Consider the following 24,798-nt stretch of genomic DNA (forward strand, 5'->3'; position numbering starts at 1 on the left):
AAAGTGCTGGGATTACAAGCATAAGCCACCACACCCAGCCTCAGTGGGTTTCTTAATGGCATCTGGGAGCTTATCTGCTGCATCTTGGTCAGCAGAAGCTGCTTCTCCTGTTATCTTGACTTCCTTTTTTTCTTCTTTGGAGATAGGATCTCACTCCGTTGCCCAGGCTGGAATGCAGTGGTACGATCACAGCTCACTGCAGCCTCTTAACTCCTCAAACAATCCTCCCACCTTGGCCTCCCAAAGTGTTCAGATAACAGGTGTGAGCTACCATGACTGGCCTTATCCTTTTTGATGTTATTGTAAATCGAATTGTTTTCTTAATGTTCATTTTAGATTGTCTATTATCAATGTATAGAAATACAACTGGTTTTTGTGTGTTGATTTCGTATCCTGCAACTTTGCTAAATTTGTTCATTTGTTCTAACAGAATCACTTCTTGGCCTTTTGGCCAAGATCAAATGTAGTTCTAATAGGTGTGTGTGTGTGTGTGTGTGTGTGTGTGTGTGTGTGTGTGTGTGTAATCTTTAGGGTTTTCTACATATAAGATCTTGTCATGTGAGGAAAAAGGCAATTTACTCCTTCATTTCCAATTTAGATGCGTTTTATTTCTTTTTCTTGCCCAATTGCTTTGGCTAGGACTTCCAATACTGTAGCCTCTGCCTTTTGGGCTTAAGCAATCCTCCTACCTCAGCCTTCCAAGTAGCTGGGACCAGGCACATGCCACCATGTCTGGCTAATTTTTGTATATTTTGTGGAGATGGGGTTTTGCCATGTTGCCCCGGCTGGTCTCAAACTCCTGAACTCAAGCAATCTGCCCACCTCAGCCTCCCAAAATGCTGAGATTACATACATGAGCCACTGCACCCAGCCTAACTTTTAAGGAATTATCAAACTGTTTTTGGAGTGGCTACACTATTTTGTATTCTCCCCAGTTGCTCCACAACTGGAACTCTCATCAGTATTTGGTATTATCATTTGTTTGTTTTTGGTTTTTGCCTCTCTAGTAGGTGTGTAGTGATATCTCATGGTAGTTTTGAGTTGTGCTTCGCTAATGGCTAATGATATTGAGCATCTCTTACTGTGCTTATTGGCCGTTTGTATATCATCTTTGGAGAAATATCTGTTCAAATCTTTTGCCCATTTTTAAATCAGTCATTTGTTTTCTTACAGCTTCCTACAATTGATATCTATCTACCTATTCTGAATACAAGCTCTATGTTGAATATGTGATTTGCAAATATTTTCTCCCAGTGTGAGATGTCTTTTCATTCTCTTAACAGTGCCTTTTGCAAAGAAAAAAGTTTAAATTGTGATGAAACTGAATTTATCACTTTTTTTTTATGGATCATGTATTGGTGTCATATCTACAAACTCCTTGCTTACTGTCAGGTTGCAAAGTTTTCTTTTATTTTTTTTCTAAAGTTTTATAGTTTTACATTTAGATCTATGGTCCACTTTGAGTTAATTTTTGTTTAAGGTGTGAGGTTTAGATCCGAGTTTTTTTGGCATCTGGTTGTTCAGTTGTTTCAACATCATTTGGTGAAAAGACTATCTTTTCTTCATTGAATTGCCTTTGGGCCCTCGTCAAAATCAATTGGCCATTTTGAGTGGATCTATTTTTGGACTCTGTATTCTGATCCATTGATCTTGTGTTTATCCCTTCTTCAATATTATTCAGTGTTGATTACTGTAGTTAAATAGTAATTTTGATAATTAGAGTGAGTCTTCCAACCTTGCTTTTTTTTTGAGACAGAGTCTCACTCTGTCACCCAGGCTGGAGTACAGTGGCGTGATCTCAGCTCACTACAATCTCTGCCTCCCAGGTTCAAGTGCCTCAGCCACCCAAGTGGCTGGGATTACAGGTGTGTGCCACGAGGCCTAGCTAATTTTTATATTTTTAGTACAGATGGGGTTTCACCATGTTGGCCAGGCTGGTCTTGAACTCTTGGCCTCAAGTGATCTGACTGCCTTGGCCTCGGGGATTACAGGTGTCGGCCACCACACCTGGTCTGCTCTTCTTTTTCAAAATTGTTTTAGAATCAGCTTATCTGCATCTACAAAAAAAATCTTGATAGAATATCTATTAGAATAGTGTTAAATCTGTAGAACATTTTGGGGAAATTGTCATCCTAACTATACTGAATGAATGTTACCATTCACAAGTGTAGTCTTTTCTTCATTTGCTTAGGTGTTCTTTGATTTCTTTCATCAGTGTTTTATAGTTTTCAGTATATCGATTCTGCACATTTTATTAGATTTCTGCCTAAGTATTTTGTTTAAGGTTTTGTCAATACTGTTTTAAAAAAATTTCAATTGAATTCAGATCAGAATCCAGTCAGTTACTGCTACTATTTTGAAACACAATTGATTTTCACGTGTTGATATTATGTCCTACAGTCTTGATGAACTCATTTATTATTTTTAGGAGCTTTTCTATACATTCCATGGAATTGTCAGCATAGACAATAAAGTTGTCTGTGAAAAACACAATTTCTGTCCTTCTAAAATGCATGTCTTTTGTTTGTTTTTCTTGTCTTATTGCTGGTCTTCTAGTACAATATTAAATAGGAGTGGTGAGAATGAATAACCTTGTCTTGTTCCTGATCTCAGAGGGAAAGTGTTCAATCTTTCAACATTAAGTATGATGCTTGTTTTTGTTTTTTTTGCAGATGCCCTTATTCAGGCTAAGGAAGCTCTCTTCTGTTCCTAGTTTGCTGAGTCCTTTTACCAGAATGACCACTGAATTTTGTGAGATGCTTTGTCTACATCAGTTTATTTGATTGATTTTTTTCTTTAGATTTTTTTCTTCTTTAGTTTTTTTTTTTTTTTTTGAGACAGAGTCTTGCTTTGTGGCCCAGGCTGGAGTGCAGGGGTGCAATCTCGGCTCACTGCAACCTCTGCCTCCCAGGTTCAAGCAATTCTCCTGCCTCAGCCTCCCAAGCAGCTGGGACTACAGGCACCTGCCACTATGCCCAGCTAATTTTTGTATTATTAGTAGAGGTGGGGTTTGACCATATTGGCCAGGCTGGTCTCAAACTCCTGACTTTGTGATCCGCCCACCTCAGCCTCTCAAAGTGCTGGGATTACAGGCATGAGCCACCGTGCCTGGCCTCTTTAACATGGTGGATTACATTAATTGATTTTCAAATATTGAACCATCCTTGAATTCTTGGTATAAACCTTGCTTGCTCATGGTAAGATATGCACACATGCATGTATATTGGTGGATTTAATTTGCTAATATTTTGTTGAGATTCATGTCTATGTTCATGAAAGATCTTCGGTTTGGTTTTTTTTTTTTTTTTTTGAGATAGAGTTTCACTCTTGTTGCCCAGGCTGGAGTGCAATGGCAAGATCTGGGCTCACCGCAACCTCCTCCTCCTGGGTTCTAGCGATTCTCCTGCCTCAGCCTCCCGAGTAGCTGGGATTACAGGCATGTGCCACCACACCCAGCTAATTTTTATATTTTTAGTAGAGACAGGGTTTCACCATGTTGGTCAGGCTGGTCTTGAACTCCCAACCTTAGATGATTCGCCCGCCTCGGCCTCCCAAAGTGCTGGGATTACAGGTGTGAGCCACCACGCCCGGCCAAAAGATCTTTGGTTTGTAATTTTATTGTCTTGTCTGATTTTGATATCAAAGTAATGTTGGCCTCACAAAATGAACTGGGAAGTGTTCTCTCCTCTTTTGTTTTCTGGATGAGATTGTGTAGAATTGGTGTTATTTCTTCTTTAAATGTTTGTTAGAATTTGTGAGTGAAACTACCTGGAGATGTCTTTTTCAGGGGCTTTTAGCTACAAATTCAAGTTCTTTACCAGATAGAGAACTATTCAGGGTATCTATTTGTTCTTGGGAAAATTGAGGTCATTTGTATCTGTCAAGGAATTGGTCCACTTCTTCTAAGTTACCAAGTTTTTATGCCTTGGTTTGTCATAATATTCACTTATGAGCCTTTTAAAGTGTCGAGGAAGGAATCTGTAGTGATATTTCTTCTTTCATTCCTGAATTTAGTAGTTTCTGTCCTTTCTATTTCATTGTCAGTCTGGCTAAATAATGTTGATTTTTTTTTTTTTTTTTTTTGAGATGGAGTCTTGCTCTGTCGCCCAGGCTGGAGTGCAGTGGCGCAATCTCGGCTCACTGCAAGCTCCACTTTCTGGGTTCACACCATTCTCCTGCCCCAGCCTCCCGAGTAGCTGGGACTACAGGCATGTGCCACCATGCCCAGCTAATTTTTTGTATTTTTAGTAGAGACGGGTTTTCACCATATTAGCCAGGATGGTCTCGATCTCCTGACCTAATGATCTGCCCATCTCGGCCTCTCAAAGTTCTGGGATTACAGGTGTGAGCCACCGTGCCTGGCAGATATTTTTTATTTTAGCAGGTAACCTAGAAGGTGAAATTCAGGTCAGAAATTTCAACTGGCTTTGTGTGAGCTGTGATTCCAAGTAAAGCTTTGAAAGTATTTGCAGGGCTATTCAGATCAGTCCCACCTGTGTGCCCCCAAGTCTGGCCAAACTATAATTGGCTTCTACTAAATTGAGGTCATTCAGTGACCTGGGCGGAGAGCTGCCTGCAACAGAGTTCACAAAGCCTGTGGTATTCTGTTTGGGGTGAGATCCATACTTGCAAGCACGGGGTGAACCCCATGAGTTCATACACAACTATTTGGGATGTCTCTCTTGATCTCCCCCAATTCTGTGATCTTCCCAATACTTTCTGATCACATTGGCTGCAACTACAGATCCTTTCAGAAGGCATGGAGCAGCTAAGGACTCTGAAAAGCAAATTGTAGCCAGTGGATTGGGGAAAGAGATGAGAATTCAAAGCTCCGCCTGGGCACGGTGGCTCACGCCTGTAATCCCAGCACTTTGGGAGGCTGAGGCAGGTGGATCACTTGAGGTGAGGAGTTCAAGAACAGCCTGGCCAACATGGTGAAACCCCCGTCTCTACTAAAAATACAAAAATTAGCTGGGTTAGCTGGGCGTGGTGGCACACCCACAGTAATCCCAGCTACTCGGGAGGCTGAGCCAGGAGAATTGCTTAAACTGAGGAGGCAGAGGCTGCCTCTGAGACTGCGTCACTGCACTCCATAGCGAAATTCCGTCTCCAAAAAAAAAAAGTTCCATCAAAATGGTGGAAAGTTTACATATTTTTTTCCCCTGCAGTATTGCCCAGCCTGGACTCAAAGACAGCTGCCGGAAACTCAGAAGCCTGTAGTAGGTCCAGACGGGAAGCGTTCCAAGAGAAGCCTTCTCTTTTTCATCTGGGGAGTGTGTGTGTGTGTGTGTGTGTGTGTGTGTGTGTGTGTGTGTGTGTGTGCGCGCGCGCGCGCGCCCCCGCGTCTGCTAGGGAGCGGCAGAGAGAATCCCATTTTGGTTTTTGCTTTCTTTTTCTATTTTCCTCTGCCCCTGCCAGGAGGCAATACCTTGGAGTTGGTGGCAGCAGCGAGTGGGCAGGCACTTAACATTATGGAGGGATATTTGTCACTAACCAGAGGAGCTGTGGTCCAAGAGTGCGTGCGCGGGGGAGTGGGTAATCCCCGTTGCCTTTTTCTGTGTTCTCTATTGTTCCAGATTCAGTTCCGTGGGGAAAGTGTGCACCAGGACAGGGAGACTAAAGCTCCACTGTGGCCTGAATTTTGCCCCCTCCCCACACAGCCAAATTTATATATTTAAATGGAAACAAATTCAATTGGGCTGCTATCACCACATTCATATGGTAATAGATAGAGGATGTGTTTACCTTCTCTGGAGTCAGACCCTAGACTTTGGCTTGAATATTAGCCTTGAAAACACACTTATGCTCTGTGCTTTGTATTTTCATTACAAATACATCTTGGAGGACTTTACTTCAGTACCAGTATGTTTCACTCATTCATCTTCACAGCTTTATAGTATTCCAGAGTGTGGCTGTATTATAACTCATTTAACTTATGTCCTATTTTTTTTTTCGAGACAGAGTCTCGCTCTGTCCCCCTGGCTGGAGTGCAGTGGCGTGATCTCGGCTCACTGCAACTTCCCCCTCCCGGGTGCAAGCAATTCTCCCTGCCTCAGCCTCCCCAGAAGCTGAGATTACAGGCACCCACCACCACACCCAGCTAATTTTGTTTGTTTGTTTTTGTATTTTTAGTAGAGACGGGGTTTCACCATGTTAGCCAGGATGGTCTCAATCTCCTGACCCGGTGATCCACCCTCCTCGGCCTCCCAAAGTGCTGGGATTACAGGCGTGGGCTACCACACCCGGCCTAAGTTTTGTATTTTTTAGTAGAGATGGGGCTTTGCCATGTTGGCCAGGCTGGTCTTGAACTCCTCACCTCATGTGATCCACCCACCTCAGCCTCCGAAAGTGCTGAGATTACAGGCGTGAGCCACCATGCCCTGCCCTGATGTCCTATTAATCATCATTCTGGTTGCTTCTAGCCTTTACTAATACAAACGTGGTGCAATAAGATGACTTGTCCATATGTTTTCATATGCATATAAATATCTGTGAATAATTTCTAGAGGAAGAATATCAAGGTCAAAGTAACTACTGCATATGCATTTTAAATTGTGTTCAATATTGTCACATTGCCTTGCAAATTTGCCCTCCCATAAGCAATACCTGAAAGTGCCTATTTCTCCACGCCCTTGCCAATATACTTCATGTGCACATGTTCCCACTTTGAGTCACCTCCATTACATTTCCACTGGCAGAACAGGCATCCCACTTCTACCACTCATTAGCTGTGTGACTTTGAGCTTATTGCTTGTGACTATTATGGGAATAATAGTAGTGCTCATCTCATAGGGCTGTGATGAGGGCTCAGTGAGTTAATGTTTGTAAAGCTGCTCACTCGGTGTCTGCCACATAGTAAGTGCTGTATAAATGTTAATTGATTAATTAATTTTAAAACATGAATTAAGGTCTCCCAAGAAGAACTCACCAAAAAAAGCAGAACTCAAGTCAGGGAAAAATGCCTGCTTTGTAGAGGGGTTGAGGTGATCAGGTTAAATTTGATAACATATTTTTAGTATTTTAAGCCAGGTGCAGTGGCTCATTCCTGTAATCCCAGCTACTTGGGAGGTAGAGGTGGGAGGATTATTTGAGTCCAGGAGTTTGAGACCAGCCTGGGCAACATAGTGAGACCCCATCTCTTAAAAAAAAAAAAAGTATTTTGCACAGTGCCTGGCACACAGTGAATGCTCAGCAAATGCTCTTATTTTTGTTAGGGTTTCCTTGGTTTTCTTTGTGGGCCCTTCCACAGCAAGTGGCTGTGAATTGTTACCGAAGGATGATGCATCTGGGGCTGCTGTGACCCTGCATGAGGGAACTCTTCTCCTCTAGGAACGGTCACACGTGGGCAGGGACAGGCCCCATGGAGCAGCCGTCTGGTGGTGGAGAAGGCACACATGGCTTATAGGGATTTGCTCTCCCTGGTGCCCAGTGTGGTAGCAACAGAACCAAGGCAATGGAAAAACAGGGCCTTTGAGGGGCAGAGGAGTTCCCTAGTTTTCTCTCCCCAAGGACTGGAGTAAGGTCTGGGCTTATGCGCAGTTGCCAGAAAGATCTGAGACCCCAGAGTCACATTGGATGTGGCTAACAGAGCAGGTGGTGACTCAACTGGTTTACCTTGAAAAATAAGAGATGGGACTTAGGGCCCTGGATGGGTGGAGGGTGAGTCTGGCCAAACATAATTCAGTACATGGTTAAAAACCAAGTCGTTAGAAATGTTAACTAGATCTGTAAACATATCTATATCTCATATGTACCATACTGTGTATGTTAGTATGTGTATATACATATAATATACTACAATGTTGTTATTTATACTAAGAAATATATTTTGGGCTGGGCGCGGTGGCTCATGCCTGTAATTCCAGTACTTTGGGAGGCCGAAGCGGGCGGATCACGAGGTCAGGAGATTGAGACCACAGTAAAACCCGGTCTCTACTAAAAATACAAAAAATTAGCTGGGCGTGGTGGCGGGCGCCTGTAGTCCCAGCTACTCGGGAGGCTGAGGCAGGAGAATGGTGTGAACCCGGGAGGTGGAGCTTGCAGTGAGCCGAGATCCCGCCACTGCACTCCAGCCTGGGCAACAGAGCAGGACTCCGTCTCAAAAAAAAAAAAAAAAAAAAGAAATATATTTTGGTCTTCGACCCAGTTCCTGGCACAGAGCTCTGAAAACCCTTGTAATTTCCTGAGCGATAGAGGTGCTAGGTGTATCTTTTGTTCTAATATTTGGTCTTTGACCCCAGTTCGTTCCACAGAGCTCCTAATCCCTTGGAATTTCCTGGGTGATAGGAGCATCTTTTGTCCTAATGAGGTGACTCTTGGTGGGTTCCTGGATGGGGGCCGGTCTCCAGAAAGACCAAGCCATGATGAGAAGTTTGGAGCTTTTAGCTCCACTCCCTATCCTCTGGGAAGGTGAGTGGGCTGGAGATTGAGTTAATAATTGATCATGCCCATATGATGATGCCTTTATAAAACTGTGGGCTTTGGAGAGCTTTCAGGTTGCTGAATGGGTGGAAGTGCTGGGGTATGGTCACCCAACACTTTGCCCTATGTACCTCTTCATCTGGCTGTTCATCTCCATCCTTTGTGATATCCTTTATAATAAACAGGTAAACATAAGTGTTTTCGGAGTTCTATAAGCCACCCTAGCAAAGTGTCAAACCTGAGGAAGGGAATCCCGATTTGTAGTTGGTTGGTCAGAAGTACAAGTGACAACCTGGGACTTGCAACCAGCATCTGAAGTGGGGGCAGCCTTGTGGGACTGAGCCCTTAACCTGTGGGGTTTGCACTAACTCTAACTGGTGTCAAAATTGAATTAATTGTAGGACACCCAATTGGTGTCTGCCAGAGAATTGATGTGTTGGAAAAAACCCACACATCTGATGTCAGAAGTAAAGTACTGAGGGTGTGAGTATATAGAGTAAAAAGAGTTGCTTTTTCCTATGATACATATACATATGTGTGATAGATAGCATATGTAATATAATATACACATATGTAACGTGTTATATACATGTTCTGTATGTTGAATATACATGTGTATAGAGAACAAGAAAGAGAGACATAGCATAGCATCTCTACCTTTTTTTTTTTTTTTTTTTTGAGACAGAATTTCACTCTTATTGGCCAGGCTGGAGTGCAATGGCGCGACCTTGGCTCACCGCAACCTCTGCCTCCTGGGTTCAAGCGATTCTACTGCCTCAGCCTCCCGAGTAGCTGGGATTACAGGCACCCGCTACCACACCTGGCTAATTTTGTATTTTTAGTAGAGACGGGGTTTCACCATGTTGGTCAGGCTGGTCTTGAACTCCCGACCTCAGGTGATCCACCTGTCTCAGCCTCCCAAAGGGCTGGGATTACAGGTGTGAGCCACCACGTCTGGCCGAATCTCTACTTTTTTTTTTTTTAATTTTTACCACATATTGAATTATATTGTATATTTATGTTATATTATGTGATGAAACATAGATATGTTAACACATATTATGTGTAGTGTAGTATATTAATATATGTATATTATACTGCACATACATATTATATGATATATTTAGAGATACAGTTAGCATCTCTTCTTGGTTTTTACCACATACTTACATTTTATATTTTATATATATTATTTATTTATTTATTTATTTTGAGACAGAGTCTCACTCTGTCAAACCTGTGCCGCCCGGGTTCAAGTTATTCTCCTGCCTCAGCCTCCCGAGTAGCTGGGGTTATAGGCATCTGCCACCGTGCCCGGCTAATTTTTGTATTTTTAGTAGAGACGGGGTTTCACCATCTTGGCCAGGCTGGTCTTGAACTCCTGACCTCGTGATCCACCTGCCTCGGCCTCCCAAAGTTCTAGGATTACAGGCGTGAGTCACTGTGCCCGGCCTTATTTTATATTATTTTAATATTTTGTACTTATGTATTTCTGACATCAGAAAATTGCCAAACCTATTACAAGAGAGGCCATGAGAAAGGGTGGCTATTTGTAGGCATGAAGCCATTTTCTAGGAGCAGCCAGGGAAGGGTTAAGAGTCATGGCCGCCTAGGCCTCCTCCAGCCCAGTGGTCTGCCTGTAAGTGTTGTCTGGAGGCCCTGCCGCTTTCCTGCAGGGTGTGATGATCCCTTTTACTCTGCGCCTGCCGGGAGCCATAGAGAAGTTGAGAGAGGGGTGGAAAAGGGGAAAGAGGGCTGGCTTGGGGAAAGAGGGCTGGCTTGGGAAAAGACTCAGATGAAATCAAAGGTGCTGAGTTTACTGTGGGACCTAAGAATGAATGAAGGGAAATCTGAGAGCCACCACAGCATTTCTTGAGCAATGTGCTTGGCGCTGCGCCAGGTATTTTATGCCCTTCTCCTCATTTAATTTAACCCTCCCTCACAACGCCTCTCAGAGGTGGTTACTATTAATTATTAATAAACTTATTTGGATAGATGACATACACACAGTATACAGTTGAAAGGGTCCAAAGACTTTACTGTGAAAGGTGAGTCTAAGAGAAGTCGGACAAACGAGTATAGAGATAAAGCAAATACAAACATGCTAACCACATGAAATCTAGGCGCTGAGTATGCGGGAATTTATTGCACTATTCTCTCAACTTTTCTGTTTGAAAGTTTTTCATAATAAAAGTTGAGGGGAGGGGAAAGTGAGTTTCCCTGCTGTCCCCATCTCCTTTATGCGGTTCCCCTCCCAGGAGGCCAGCACGGATACTAGTTTCCTGCTCCTACTGATACTCAGTTTATATGGGCATGCACGCATGCGTACACACGCAGGCACACACATGGGTCCATTTGGTTACTTCTGGTACCTTATTGATAGAATTTCATTTTTGAAAGCTTTAGAGGCGTAGCTTTTTAGAAAAGGGAATTCCTAAAGGTGGATCCCCACATTCGCTTTCCCAGGGGAAGGTGACTATTTTGTTGCCCAGGCTCACCCCTAGAGGTCGCCTCTTCGCTTGACTGGCAGCTGCTAGGGCAGAAGGTGCACAAACCACGGTCGGGGCTGCTCCCATGTGACTCATGAGATGCGCAGCCTTCCAAAAGTATTCACACTTATGTTTTCTGGCCTTAGCCACGTTTCTTGTGGGTTGCAATACTCAGACACAGAACCCACATTTTGGCTTTGCAGAGGCAAAAAGCTGACAGAGGGACAGGTTGTCCAGAAAGCTTCGCCCACACACTGTACTGTAAACTTCCAGAGGATGAATAAAACACCTATTTCCAGGCACAAAAGAGACACTTCTCAGTGTCCCAAACATTTCGATGCTGATTACTTCACTAGATTAAAAAATTTTTTTTGACTAAAGGAAAGCCGTTTTATTAAATACATTAGAACTGACTTATAGCATTGGTGTTAATGTCTCTCTGAACGATTATACCAGTCTTATGTTTTGTTCTTATATTTAGGGAGGCAAGATTTCATCACATTATCTCTGGGTGTGTGTGAAAAAGAACTATATTATAATAGTGTGTATATTCCTTTTTAAAAGTAATTGAATCAATGCCAATAGATAAATGACTAGTTTAAATTAACCACACAGAAATGTTATTTGATTTTTTAAATTTATTTTAAGATAGGGTCTCACTCTCTCCCCCCCAGGCTGGAATGCATTGGCACAATTTTGGCTCACTGCAACCTCCACCTCCTGGGCTCAAGTGATCCTCCCACCTCAGCCTCCCAAGTAGCTGGGACCACAGGCACGTGCCACAACTCCTGGCTAATTTTTTCTTTTCTTTTTTTTTTTTTTTTTTTGTAGATACAGGGGTCTTGCCATGTTGCCCAGGCTGGTCTCCTGGGCTCAAGCGATCCACCTGCCTTGGCCTCTCAAAATGCTGGGATTACAGGCATGAGCCACTGTGCCCAGCCAGAAATGTTATTTTATTAATGTTGAACATGTACAGTAACTTGAAGCAGACTATTATTCTGTTTTCATGCTGCCATGAAGACATACCTGAGACTGGGTAATTTATAAGGAAAAGAGATTTAATTAATTCACAATTCCACGTGGTTAGAGAGGCCTCAGGAAACTTACAATCACGGTGGCAGGTGAAAGAAGTGAATGCTGAGCAAAGGGGGAAGCCCCTTATAAAACCATCAGATCTCGTGAGAACTCACTCACTATCATGAGAACAGCAAGAGGGTAACTGCCTCTGATTGAATTATCTCCACCTGGTCCCTCCCATGACATGTGGGGATTATGGGAACTGCAATTCAAAATGAGATTTGTGTGGGCACACAGCCAAACCATAGCAAGACTATTTTTGCCATTTAATTATTTAAAATTTTTTTGTTTTATATGTATTTTTTGAGACAGGGTCTCAATCTGTCACCCAGGCTGGAATGCAGTGGTATGATGTTGGCTCACTGCAACCTCCACCTCCCAGGCTCAAACAATCCTCCTGCCTCAGCCTCCTAAGTAGCTGGGACTACTGGGGCATGCCACCATGCCTGGCTAACATTTGTATTTTTTGTACAGACGAGGTCTCCCTATGTTGCCCAGGCTGGTCTGAAACTCCTGTGCTCAAGTGATATGCCTGCCTTGGCCTCCCAGAGTGCTTGAATTATAGGCATGAGCTACCGTGCCTCGCCCTCCCTCTCTCTTTCTCTCTCTTTCTTTCTTTCTCTCATTCTTTTGCCATTTAGAATGTAGATATAAATATCTATTTTAGGAATTTTGAGGCTCTTTGAAAAAATGTATATAGTGGCTTAAAACACAGATAAATATGACAACATAGCATAGCTGTTAAGAAAATCAGTTTTGATTTCAGGAATCTGCAAACACAGTCACAAAAACAATGAGTGATAAGATGATTCATGTCAACTATGATAATATTTATAACAGCAAAAAATGGAAATAACCTAAATATTCATGGGTTAGGGTCTGAATTTAGAAATACCTGGCACAGTCATGAAACAGAAAATTATAAAGATGTCAAAAGAATAAGGGAACTTTCTGTATATGAAAGGCATATCCATCTTTGCACTTCACCGGAATCTCTGCAAATGTTTATAAAGGGAAATCGGAGAAACCAGGGGATGCTTGAACCACAATTTAAAAAAAAAACTTTCTTTTTTTTTGAGACAGAGTCTTGCTCTGTCACCAGGCTGGAGTGCAGTGGTGTGATCTTGGCTCACTGAAACCCCACAACCCGGTTCAAGCGATTCTCTTGCCTCAGCCTCAAGAGTAGCAAGGATTACAGGTGCGCACCACCACGCCCAGCTAATTTTTGTATTTTTAGTAGGGACAGGGTTTCACTATGTTGGTCAGGATGGTCTCGATCTCTTGACCTCGTGATCCACCCGCCTTGGCCTCCCAAAGTGCTGGGATTACAGGTGTAAGCCACTGAGCCCAGCTAAAAAAAACCTTTCTATTTTGAAATAATTATAGATTCACAGGAAGTTACCAAGAGAGTACAAAGAGGTCCTGTGTGCCCTTCACCTAGTTTCTCCAATGGTTGCAGCTCAGGTAACTATAGCACAATATCAAAACAAGGCAATTGATATTGGTACAGTGTGTGGATAGTCCTATGCTATTTTGTGGCACGTATGGAATTGGGCAACCACCACAATAAAGATGCAGAACTAGCCAGGTGCAGTGGCTCACACACTTTGGGAGGCCGGGGTGGGCGGATCATGTGAGGCCCGGAACTCAAGACCAGCCTGGCCAACATGCTGAAACCCCGTCTCTACTAAAACACAAAAAATTAGCCGGGCATGGTGGCTCGCGCCTGTAATCCCAGCTACTTGGGAGGCTGAGGCAGGAGAATCGCTTGAACTGGGGAGGCAGAGGTTGCAGTGAGCAGAGATCGCGCCATTGCGCTCCAGCCTGGGCAACAGAGCAAGATTTTGTCTCAAAAAAAAAAAAAGAAAAAAAGAAAAAGAAAATTAGCAGGGTGTGGTGGCCCACACCAGTAATCCCAGCTATTTGGGTGGCTGAGGCACGATAATTGCTTGAACCTGGGAGGCAGAGGTGGGAGTGAATTGAGATTGCACCACTGCACCCCAGCCTGGGAGACAGAGTGAGATTCTGTCTCAAAAATAAATAAATAAAATAAAATAAAATAAAATAAAATAATTTGTATGTGTCAGATGAAGCAAAAAAGAGAGGTCAAGGCTAACCTTTTGTTGGAAAGCTACAACATGTTGAACAGGCCACCTGTTGTACTCTTGGCCTCTGTCCCTAGCTTGTTCTCTGTCCCAAGGCTCGCTCATTCTGGAATGTTCTACTCTCACATTCCCAATAATAAAGGCATTTAGGGTTCATAGAGAGCCATTTCAGAACCATCCCACGGATGGATCGCTGTACCTACACACCCACCCTCAGTCCCCCAACTCTGAGCCTCACATTAAAATAATGTTTTAATCCATCTATCATCCTCCCCTGCTTCCCTCTAGGGCTTTACTTGTTAGAGCACAAGGGTGAGGTCACACTCACCTGCGTTAGGAATGCAGGCTCCAGGGTCATGCTGCCCTTTCTCTTGTTCTTGGGCAAGTAACAACTCCTAAACCTGAATTTCCTCACTTACACACTTGAGGTGATAGATAACAACAGTACCAGCCAACAAGGTCACTCAGTTATTCTGAAAATATAGAGCATCTACTATGAGCCAGCTGAGAATATGCTGGGGAGGAAAGACAAGGCCCTGCTCTCAGGAAGCACCACAAACAGAGAAAACAGGAGTACACAGCTCAGCCCAGTCTTCAGCACGTGGCCAGCCTTTAAAAAATGTTAGTTGTTTTAATTTTTATTATATATATATTTTTTGTTGAGATTGAGTCTCACTCTGTCACCCAGGCTGGGGTGCAATGGCAGGATCTCAGCTCACTGCAACCTCCGCCTCCTGGGTTCAAGTGATCATCCTGCTTCAGCCTCCTGAGTAGGTAGGACTATAGGCGCGTGCCGCCATGACCAGCTAATTTTTGTATTTTTAGTAGAGACGGGGTTTCACCATGTTGGCCAGGCTGGTCTCGAACTCCTGACCTCAAGTGATCCGCCTGCTTTGTCCTCCCAAAATGCTGGGATTATAGGCGTGAACCACTGCGTCTGGCCTGCTTTTATTATAAATATAGTCACACACAATACTTATTTATGGACTGAAATGGAATATGAACCCGGTATCACACACTTGGCCTAGTATATTCTTATTCATTATCAGACATTAATTATGGTTAGCTGCTAAGAGCTGTGCTGGTGTCTCATGCCACCATGAAAGTCAGCTCAGTTGCTCACCAAGAGCACTCATTTAATGTTTAAAATCTAGGATAATTTTCTGAATTTAATATCTTGAACATCAGACTCAGTAAGGGTCTCTTGCTGTAAACATACAACTTTGAAGAAAGAGTCTTTATGTAAACTTACAAAAAAGTATCTTACAGTTTGTCTGAAGGTTGATATATTATCAAAAGACTCCCACACAATAAATAGCAATTTCATTGCTTAGAATATACATTTCATAAATAATCAGAAATATGAGATTTAGCAGGGGAAAAGCCCCTTAGAGGAAGTTAATTTTTTAAATCGTTAAAAATGCCTAAAATGTGACTAAAAAAATAAAAAAGAATAGGGCAGCTGAATAAATGCAAAAACTCTCAAAAGAGGTCTGAATTCAAGGCAAACTGTTCATTATGCAAATTAGTCAACAGGTGAACTGGTCACCTGGCAAATTTATCATTAGAATACCTGGCTCTGGGGCCGGGCGTGGTGGCTCACCCCTGTAACCCTAGCACTTCGGGAGGCCGAGGCAGGTGGATCATCTGAGGTCAGAAGTTTGAGACCAGCCTGACAAACATGGTGAAACCCTATCTCTACTAAAAATACAAAATTAGCCAGGCATGGTGGTGCATGCCTATAATCCCAGCTACTCAGGAGGCTGAGACAGGAGACTTGCTTGAACCCAGGAAACGGAGGTTGCAATGAGCTGAGATTGCATCACTGCACTCCAGCCTGGGCAACAACAGCCAAACTCCGTCTCAAAAGAAAAAAAAAAACAAAGAATACATGGCTCTGGTCACAGTAGTCTGTTCCTGGGGCAGGACCAACGTGGCGGTCATGGGCAGTTTGGGCATGTTGGGAAAAAAAAATTTTTCCTCAACTTTCCTAAGTTCTTAGTTGGAAAAGACCCCTGTAACAAAAGAGATTAACAAGAGAAAAGCAAAGCAAACAGGAGTTTATTAATGTATGTATTTTATATATGTTAGAGGAACCCCTGCTTACCAGGCCTCTGGTTTAATAACACATGACCAGAATGACTCCCTCTTGAAGTGAGTAACTGGGCACTCATAAGACACTTAAAAGGTTAATATTTAGGACCTGAAAATAGCCACACTCTAAGCTGACCACCAATTATAATTACAGAATATTTATGGCCCTACAGAGCAGCTCCCACTAAGCCTGCAGAATGTCCAGATGTCCTAAGCACGGAGCGAATGTACTTAAAGATAATGATAATGAGCAGGCTTCGATTGAAGGATTAATGGTCATTGACAATACTAATAGCCACTACCTTTAGCGAGCACATCTGCACATTTCAAGTTTAATTATAGCTCCTTATAGTTTCTTATAAGTAGAGATGCTAACCAAGGATGGCATGTTCCTCCTCCTGCTTTCTGAGGATGCTCTACTTGACTCTGTAACAGGGTGGTTTCCAATAAACTTGCTTCTTTCACTGTGGTCTGTGGCTCTCCTTGAAATTTTTTTTTTTTTTTTTTTTGAGATGGAGTTTCGCTCTTGTTGCCCAGGCTGGAGTGCAATGGTGCGATCTTGGCTCACCGCAACCTCTGCCTCCCAGGTTCAAGCGATTCTCCTGCCTCAGCCTCCCGAGTAGCTGGGATTACAGGCATGTGCAACCACGCCTGGCTAATTTTGTATTTTTAGTAGAGACGGGGTTTCTCCATGTTGGTCAGGCTGTCTTGAACTCCCGACCTCAGGTGATCCGCCCACCTTGGCATCCCAGTGCTGGGATTACAGGCGTGAGCCACCACGCCCGGCCTGCCTTGAATTCTTTTCTGCATTAGATCCAAGAACCTGTTCTTGGGGTCTGGATCAGGACCCTCTTTTCCAGCAACATATATACATGGGGGATACCCAGGGAATGAGTCGTTCTCCAGGAATTCCAGCTTATATAGCATCTCCAACAAAGAACAGTGAATGTTTAGAGAAGTGACAAGACGGGAAAAGAACTTGAGTCTCCAGGGGCAGTAACTTGTGGGAAGGCAAGTAATTGGCAGATAAAGGCCAGTGAGTGAAGCTTGTTCATGTCGATTCCTCTGGCGTCATCTCCAGGGGCCCATGAAGGTCTCAAGTTGTCTTCAGTGGTTAGCCTTTGTCCTCCTTTTTTTTTTGGGACGGAGTCTCGCTCTGTTGCCCAGGTTGGAGTGCAGTGGCACGATCTCAGCTCACTGCAACTTCTGCCTCAAGTGATCCTCCTGTCTCAGCCTCCCAAGTAGCTGGGATTACAGGTGTCTGCCACCATGCCCAGCTAATTTTTTTATTTTTTGTTGAGACAGGGTTTCACCATGTTGGCCAGGCTGGTCTTGAAATCCTGACCTCAGGTGATCCACCCGCCTCGGCCTCCCAAAGTGCTAGGATTACTGGCGTGAGCTACCACGCCCAGCCCCAACCTTTGTCCTCTTTGGTAGGAGGGGGTACGGATACCTTTTGTCTTCGTAATCTATGTCCTGCTTTTAGGCAAGTAGAGGAAGGGCAGAGAGCTTTCCTGCATCTGCATCTTCTCAATTGCCTTCAGCTCAACAGTGCTTATAACAAAGAGGCGTATTTAGGGGGTCGTATTCTGATCTCCCACAGACGTTGCAGGTGGAGTGTCCTGATGGCAGGGTGTGGATCACATCTCTGCTCTCAGGAGGTGGGGAGAGGGGATCTGGGGCCTCCTCGACTTCCATAGGGGAGGTTGGGCCTGCACTGTCCACCATGACCCATACAACCACAGACAGAAGTTCCTTGGTAGTAACCAGCATGTGTTCATTACAGTGAATGAAAAGACCAGAGCAGGTAGCATGGATCTCAGCCGCAGCTCATGGACCACCCAGCGCTGGGAATTGCAGAGGTTCCCTAACCTTTCCTAAGCCTGAGTTTACTCATGCAGAAAATGCCAGGGTGGACTTGGAGGGTAGCTACAGGCCCTGTGAGCACTAAGATTTCCTGAGACTTCGCTGCTGTCCATGCCCCTCCCCTGTTTTGACCTTTCCAACAGACTGGAGGCTAGAATGAAGATAAGGAGTACCATTTTTTTGTTAGGCACTGGGAGACGGCCCAGACTTTGATATAGCAAAGGTTAATGTTCTGTCATCTCAAAGATCCATTTCCCCAGGCTGTCGGAATGTAAATGTTAAGGTGATGAAAATAGTGAAGCCTAGGTTCCGGCTCATTTGAGTCAGAGCCCCTCACCCCTCACAGTGCAACCCTGGTGCACAGGGCCTCCTCTGTGGCCTGAACCTTCATAAACTTGGGTTTAGGTTGTCAGCACTGATTTAAAGAGATTTGCTTTGTTCAGTTTGCTTCTGGGAAAGAACTGACATTCACAGCAGGGTTTGGGGGTTAAGAATGAAACCTGAGCTGGCTTCTTCCCCACTGGGTGTGTGCAGAGTGAGTCAGATGTTTGCACAGAAGGCTGTGGTGTCAAATCAAATCCACAAATTTGCAGGCCTTATGCCTTTACCACTTCAAACCGGAAAGGTGTTGCAACATAACAGTTTTAATTGCTAAACCCTAGCTGCAAACCCAAATCTCTGGATTTAATAAGAATTGGGTGTGAAAGACTGTGAACAGTGGCAGTTTTCTGCCAGGTGAGTTTATTTGTTCCTTCATTCCCTCATTTGCTTCCTCGTTGGTGCCCAAGCCCACACCAAAGGCCTCTGGCCAGTCACTGCCTGCGCGCCCTCCTCCTGATGATGGACCTGTGGTCTCGCCTGTAGGTTTACCTTCTTTCCTGCTCTTGGTTGAGATTTGCGGACCTTTGTATCCACTGTGGTCTCCTTGGAACAAGCAACTGGAAATTCTTCACACCAGCTATGGCTGGTAGGAATTTCGGGCCACAACTCAGGTAGACAAAAAATAAAGCTTTCTTTTCTAGAACTTGACTCTGGGTTCAGGTCTTTGCTGTGCCAGACTGGTATAAAACCTCTAACCATGGTCTTTGCCGGGCACATACCCACTTCCCCAGCAACACGTATTCACTGAGTTGCCCACCATCCTTGGGGCTGAAGTAAGGCCATGATTAGGGAGGGAAATGAATCTGGCTCTGTGTCATTGGTCCACATAGTTGGTCAAGGGATCTGTTGGTCTTGCTAAGTGGCCCCTTTTGCTTCAGGGTCCTCTGCTGCTTTCCTGCCATTCTGGGGCCCTTTCTGAAGTTACCGTAATGGCTGGTTGTACCTTCCACAGGCTTCCAGACTCTGGACGGTATTCCCAGAGTCAGCTCCCTTCTGAATTGGGAGAAAGAGAGAAAGGAAAATACAAGAAGACCCAACCATGTGGATTAACACCCTATAGCATGATCCAGGCCCACAGCCAGCTCTGTGTTTCCAGGTGGGAGATTACAGACATCTACTTTTTCAAAAGGAATAATAAACGGATAAAAAGTAATATTTTCTAACATCTGTTAGATACAAACTGGACCTGGCACAGTAGCCTTTTGAACTGAGTACTATTATTATTTCCATTTCACAGATCAGAAAACTAAGGCTCAGTGATATAAGAAGCTTGCTCAAGGTCATACTGCAGTGGTAGAAGAGGTTTTAATACCAGTTTTCCTGACTCTAGAGTCCAACAACTTATTTATAATCAGTGCTCAGCTGTATCTTAGATACTTAAAAAATGCTGAACCTATAATCCTGAGAGAGGATTTTTTTTTTTTTTTGGAGGCAGAGTCTTACTCTGTCACCCAGGCTGGCTAGAGTGGAGTGGCGGGATCTCAGCTCACTGCAACCTCTGCCTCCCAGGTTCAAGCAATTCTCCTGCCTCAGCCTCCCAAGTAGCTGGGTCTACAGGCATGCGCCACCATGCCCGGCTAGTTTTTGTATTTTTACTAGAGATGGGGTTTCACCATGTTGGCCAGGCTGGTCTCAAACTCCTGACCTCAAGTGATCTGCCACCTGAACCTCCCAAAGTGCTGGGATTACAGACGGGAGGCACCGCACCCTGCCTGTGAGGGGATCTTTAAACTACATTTTTATGATTATTCTCATCTTGTCCTGGAGTTTGTACTATAGTCTGGCCCCTCTCTCAGTGGGACTAGAAAACACAGCGCCCAGCAGCTATGGTGGCTGCCAGGCTCATGCTATGAGCTCCATAAATACTTGGTGACTGATGGATTGTACATCTGACACGTGATTTTGCATTTTCACATACTTTTGTGTCTGGTTTAGATGTGCCAGAAAAAGTGAGAGGTTGCTGGTAGCGTTGTTTTCTCTAAAAAATAGAAGAAGTCCTTCTAGTTTTGCTTAAAAAAAAATTTGCCTATTGATATTCCTTCAACTCTTCCTTCATTTTGCCTTCCCAGTTAGTTCCCAGTCTAATCCACTCAGGGTGAAACCCCCTGCAGGGATCTGACAAGACAGATAGACCTGGGTTTTAAACTCCAGCTCTGATGCTTGCTGTTCATGTGACCTGAGCTGGTCACATACCTCCCTGAGCTTCTGTTTCCTCCTCCATAAAACAGGGGCAATAATGCAACCAACTTTAGGGATATTGTGAATGTAGGCAGTAGGCACTCAATGGCTAATTCCTTTCTCTGATAATTAAATCAACCTCATCATCAATTTGAACTTTAAACTTGAGGTCCTCCTGAAAACTCTTTAAGAATGCCATCCCTTTGGATGGATTTAGGAATTCATGTTTACCAATACAGCTAAAAGCTGATGTATCAGTAAGATGTTTGTAGTTGCAAGGAAGAGAAAATACTGACCCAAACTGGCATAAACAGTAAGAAAAGACATTATTCAAAGGTGTGAAGGTTGATTCACTGGCTCAATGGTGGCAATTGAGACTCAGTCTTGAACTCCTGGGCCTGAGACCCTCCCGCCTCAGCCTCCCAAAGCGCTGGGATTACAGGTGTGAGCCACTGCTCCCAGCCTGACCCAGGCTTTTCCATCTGTTTTCCAGTTTCCTCTAGAGTAGGCTGCATATGCTCATGGCCACAAGGTAACTGGAGCTGCAGGTGAACACATGGTGTTTAGACATAGCAACATACAGAGATAGAACAGGGGCCTTTATTTCAGTGTCCCCTTCTCAGGAGTCAGGAATTCCTTCCCAGAAACCTCCCATCAGATATATCCTCGGGTTTTAATGGGCAGAACTGGGTCACATGCTAGAGTCTGATGGTACCACTAAGAAGGAATAAAACCAATTAGGATTTATCTCTGAGCTAGGGATGAAGCGACCATTTTCTAAGTCATGTTGTGGGGGATGGCCCCTTGAACAAAATCCAGGTTCTATCAGCAAAGAAAAATGGAGAGGATTATTTTGATTGCCTCCTCTTCATCCCATTAGTGAGGGAGGGATTCCTAGCTAGGGTTATGGGGGTGACCGAACACTACACTGGCCAGGTGAGATTGAGACAGCTTACTCATCACATATACTCACAGCCCAGGGGAGGGGGACACAGGACCATATGGAGGTTGCACCCAGGAACAGAGTAAACAATCAGGGGCTCTGGGAGGCAGGCTTTGTAGTTTTAAGAGGGTGAAGTGCTCTTTAGTCCCTACAGGAGGAAGTGATTGGCTTTTGGAATAATTCTGTGGGCTGGCAGGAAGTGAAACCTCCTACTCAGTGATAAGCAGGAACTGTGCCTTGTCCCTTAAATAAGGAAGGTTATTTGGCCAGGGGACCATATCTACAGGAACATAGTGGGGAAGAGGACTTGTTTGTTAGGCCATTTGAGGCCCTTTCATTTTACCAGGTGTCAAGACAGCACATAATATTGAACTTTAATTTTAGGTCTTACATACACAGGCAGGGATGGATGTGGGCTACATATGCACAATCTCCCTTCCTGCATTCCTTCATCCATCCATTCGTCCATCCATCTATCCAACCATCCATCTATCCATCCATCCATACATCCACCCACCCACCAACCCACCTATCTATTCTGTAGAGATTCCACAAATGATTGATTGAGGCAGCCTAAACATTCTGACTACATCTCTTGTTTTTCATGAGTCCTGGTCATAGCTGTTTGTGGGTAGTCAACATTGGAATCAGCCCTTCTGACCTGTGGCCAACTCTTCACCCTTTTCAACTCTGCACTAGTCCATAGGTCAGCTCATTGACCCTAGCATATGCTTTTCTCTGTTCTGCTTCTGATTTTGCTGGAACCATCGCTTTCTTCTTTGCCTGTCTAAATTCTACCCTTCCTTGAGCCAAATCCCTCATCATCCATACACACTTTCACTCCCCGTCCTGAATTCTGAATCTTCTTGTCAGCCCAAAGCCTTTGTGACAGCTGCTGTATGCAAACACATAACCATGCACTACTGTGTGTCACTGCATCTCCTGGGGATTGATCTTTCCTGTTTTGCTGCCATTTCTCATTTTATTGCTATGTTTTCTCTCCAACCTCATCGTGAACTCTCTGAGGGTCAGGGCTCTATCCTGCACACCCCTGCACCCCCTTCATTGCATGGGAGTGGGGAAGGGACAGCACAGCACCTTCTTATGCTCCTAAACCTCCATAGACATTTTCTGACTTAATTTGAATCATCGAATTCCTTTTAAGAATATTTTAAATGTAAATACAAAAAGCAGTTTGAGTAGAATCTCTAAATGAACATTTATCTAGCATCTAGCACATAGAAGGCACACAATAAAAAAAGTGTTGAAATGATGAATAAAACACCTCAATGGCCATGAACATAATTTTTTTTCTTTTTTTTTGAGAAGTAGTCTTGCTGTGTCACCCAGGCTGGAGTGCTGTGGTACGATCTCGGCTCACTGCAACCTCCGCCTCCTGGGTTCAAGCGATTCTCCTGCCTCAGCCTCCCAAGTGCTGGGATTAGAGGGATGTGCCACCACACCCAGCTAATTTTTGTATTTTTAGTAGAGATGGCGTTTTACCTTGTTGGCCAGGCTGATCTCGAACTCCTGACCTCAAGTGATTCACCCGCTTCAGCCTCTCAAAATGCTGGGATTACAGGTGTGAGCCACTGCGCCCGGCTCTTGTTATTATTTTTTAAAGGCTAAATATTGATGGATATGCAGAATTTCAGGGCTCACAGAAACTATTTCTCTCTATTAATCTAAGCTACTATTTTACTGGCTTCAATCCTTTGCACATATCTTTATATTTTTTTTGTTATCTATGTTATCTTGTGTTATTATTAATGTTTCTTTTTTGTTTGTTTGTTTTGTTTTGGTTTTTGTGACGGAGTCTCGCTCTGTCACCCAGGCTGGAATGCAGTGGTGCAATCTCGGCTCACTGCAACCTCCACCTCCTGGGTTCAAGCGGTTCTCCTGCCTCAGCCTCTCGAGTAGCTGGGATTACAGGCGCCTGCCACCATGCCTGGCTAACTTTTGTACTTTTAGTAGTGACAGGATTTCACCGTCTTGACTAGGCTGGTCTTGAACTCCTGACCTCGTGATCCATCCGCCTCAGCCTCCCAAAGTGCTGGGATTACAGGCGTGAGCTATCGTGCTGGGCCTAATGTTTCTTTAAATTGATTAATTTTTAAACTTAGCCCAGATCTAAGCAATAGTATTTGTGACATCATTGCCATGATGTGCTAGTTATTTTCATGTATCTAATTAAAAATACACAATTAAGATAGCAAATGGTTATCTATACACACAAAATTCTTCCTTTCTTTTTTTTTTTTTGCTCTTGTTGCCCAGGCTGGAGTGCAATGGCACGATCTCGGCTCACTGCAACCTCTGCCTCCCTGGTTCAAGCGATTCTCCTGCCTCAGCCTCCCGAGTAGCTGGGATTACAGGCATGTGCAACCATGCCTGGCTAATTTTGTATTTTTAGTAGAGAGGGGGTTTCTCCATGTTGGTCAGGGTGGTCTCAAACTCCCGACCTCAGGTGATCTGTCTGTCTCGGCCTCCCAAAGTGCTGGGATTACAGGCGTGAGCCACCGCACCTGGCCAATTCTTTCTTTCTTAAACATGATGTGTAATGGTTGTATATATTCTGGGGCTACATATGATATTTTGGTACATGTATACAATGTGGAATGATCAAATTAGGGTAATTGGGGTATCCATCACCTCAAGCACTTAACTTTTCCTTGTGTTGGAAACATTGTAATTCTTCTCTTCCAGCTATTTTGAGATACACAATAAATTATTGTGTGTGTGTTTTTTTTTTTTTTTTTTGAGACAGAGTTTTTGCTCTTGTTGCCCAGGCTGGAGTGCAATGGCACCATCTCGGCTCACTGCAACCTCCACCTTCTGGGTTCAAGAGATTCTCCTGTCTCAGCCTCCCGAGTAGCTGAGATTACAGGCATATGCCACCACGCCCAGCTAGTTTTGTATTTTTAGTAGAAATGGGGTTTCTCAATGTTGGTCAGGCTGGTCTTGAACTCCCGACCTCAGGTGATCCGCCAGCCTTGGCCTCCCAAAGTACTGGGATTACAGACATGAGCCACTGCGCCTGGCCTGTAAATAGTTTCCTGATACAGAGTTTTTTTTTTTTTTTTTTTTTTTTTTTTTTTTTTTTGCTCTTGTTGCCCAGGCTAGAGTGCAATGGCACGATCTCGGCTCACTGCAACCTCCGCCTCCCGGGTTCAACCGATTCTCCTGCCTCAGCCTCCTGAGTAGCTGTAATTACAGGCATGTGCCACAACGGTGGCTAATTTTT

The 24,798-nt window shown here is 44.0% G+C and overlaps 1 long non-coding RNA gene across 2 annotated transcripts in view; it reads left to right on the forward strand.

Annotated features, from left to right (window-relative positions):
• The window catches only part of LOC107986092 (uncharacterized), a 51,164-nt gene that overhangs the window by 19,337 nt on the left and 7,029 nt on the right, over positions 1-24,798 (forward strand). Inside the window, exons 1-3 of one of the 2 annotated variants that reach the window (XR_001740719.3) lie at positions 18,442-18,787; positions 18,917-19,044; positions 19,386-19,529. This is a non-coding gene — a long non-coding RNA (uncharacterized LOC107986092). Of the gene's footprint in view, positions 1-18,441; positions 18,788-18,916; positions 19,045-19,385; positions 19,530-24,798 lie in introns of those variants that run through there. The other variant, XR_007095933.1, reaches the window with a different exon arrangement.

This window comes from Homo sapiens, chromosome 3 (assembly GCF_000001405.40).
Source record: "Homo sapiens chromosome 3, GRCh38.p14 Primary Assembly".
NCBI classification, from domain to species: domain Eukaryota; kingdom Metazoa; phylum Chordata; class Mammalia; order Primates; family Hominidae; genus Homo; species Homo sapiens.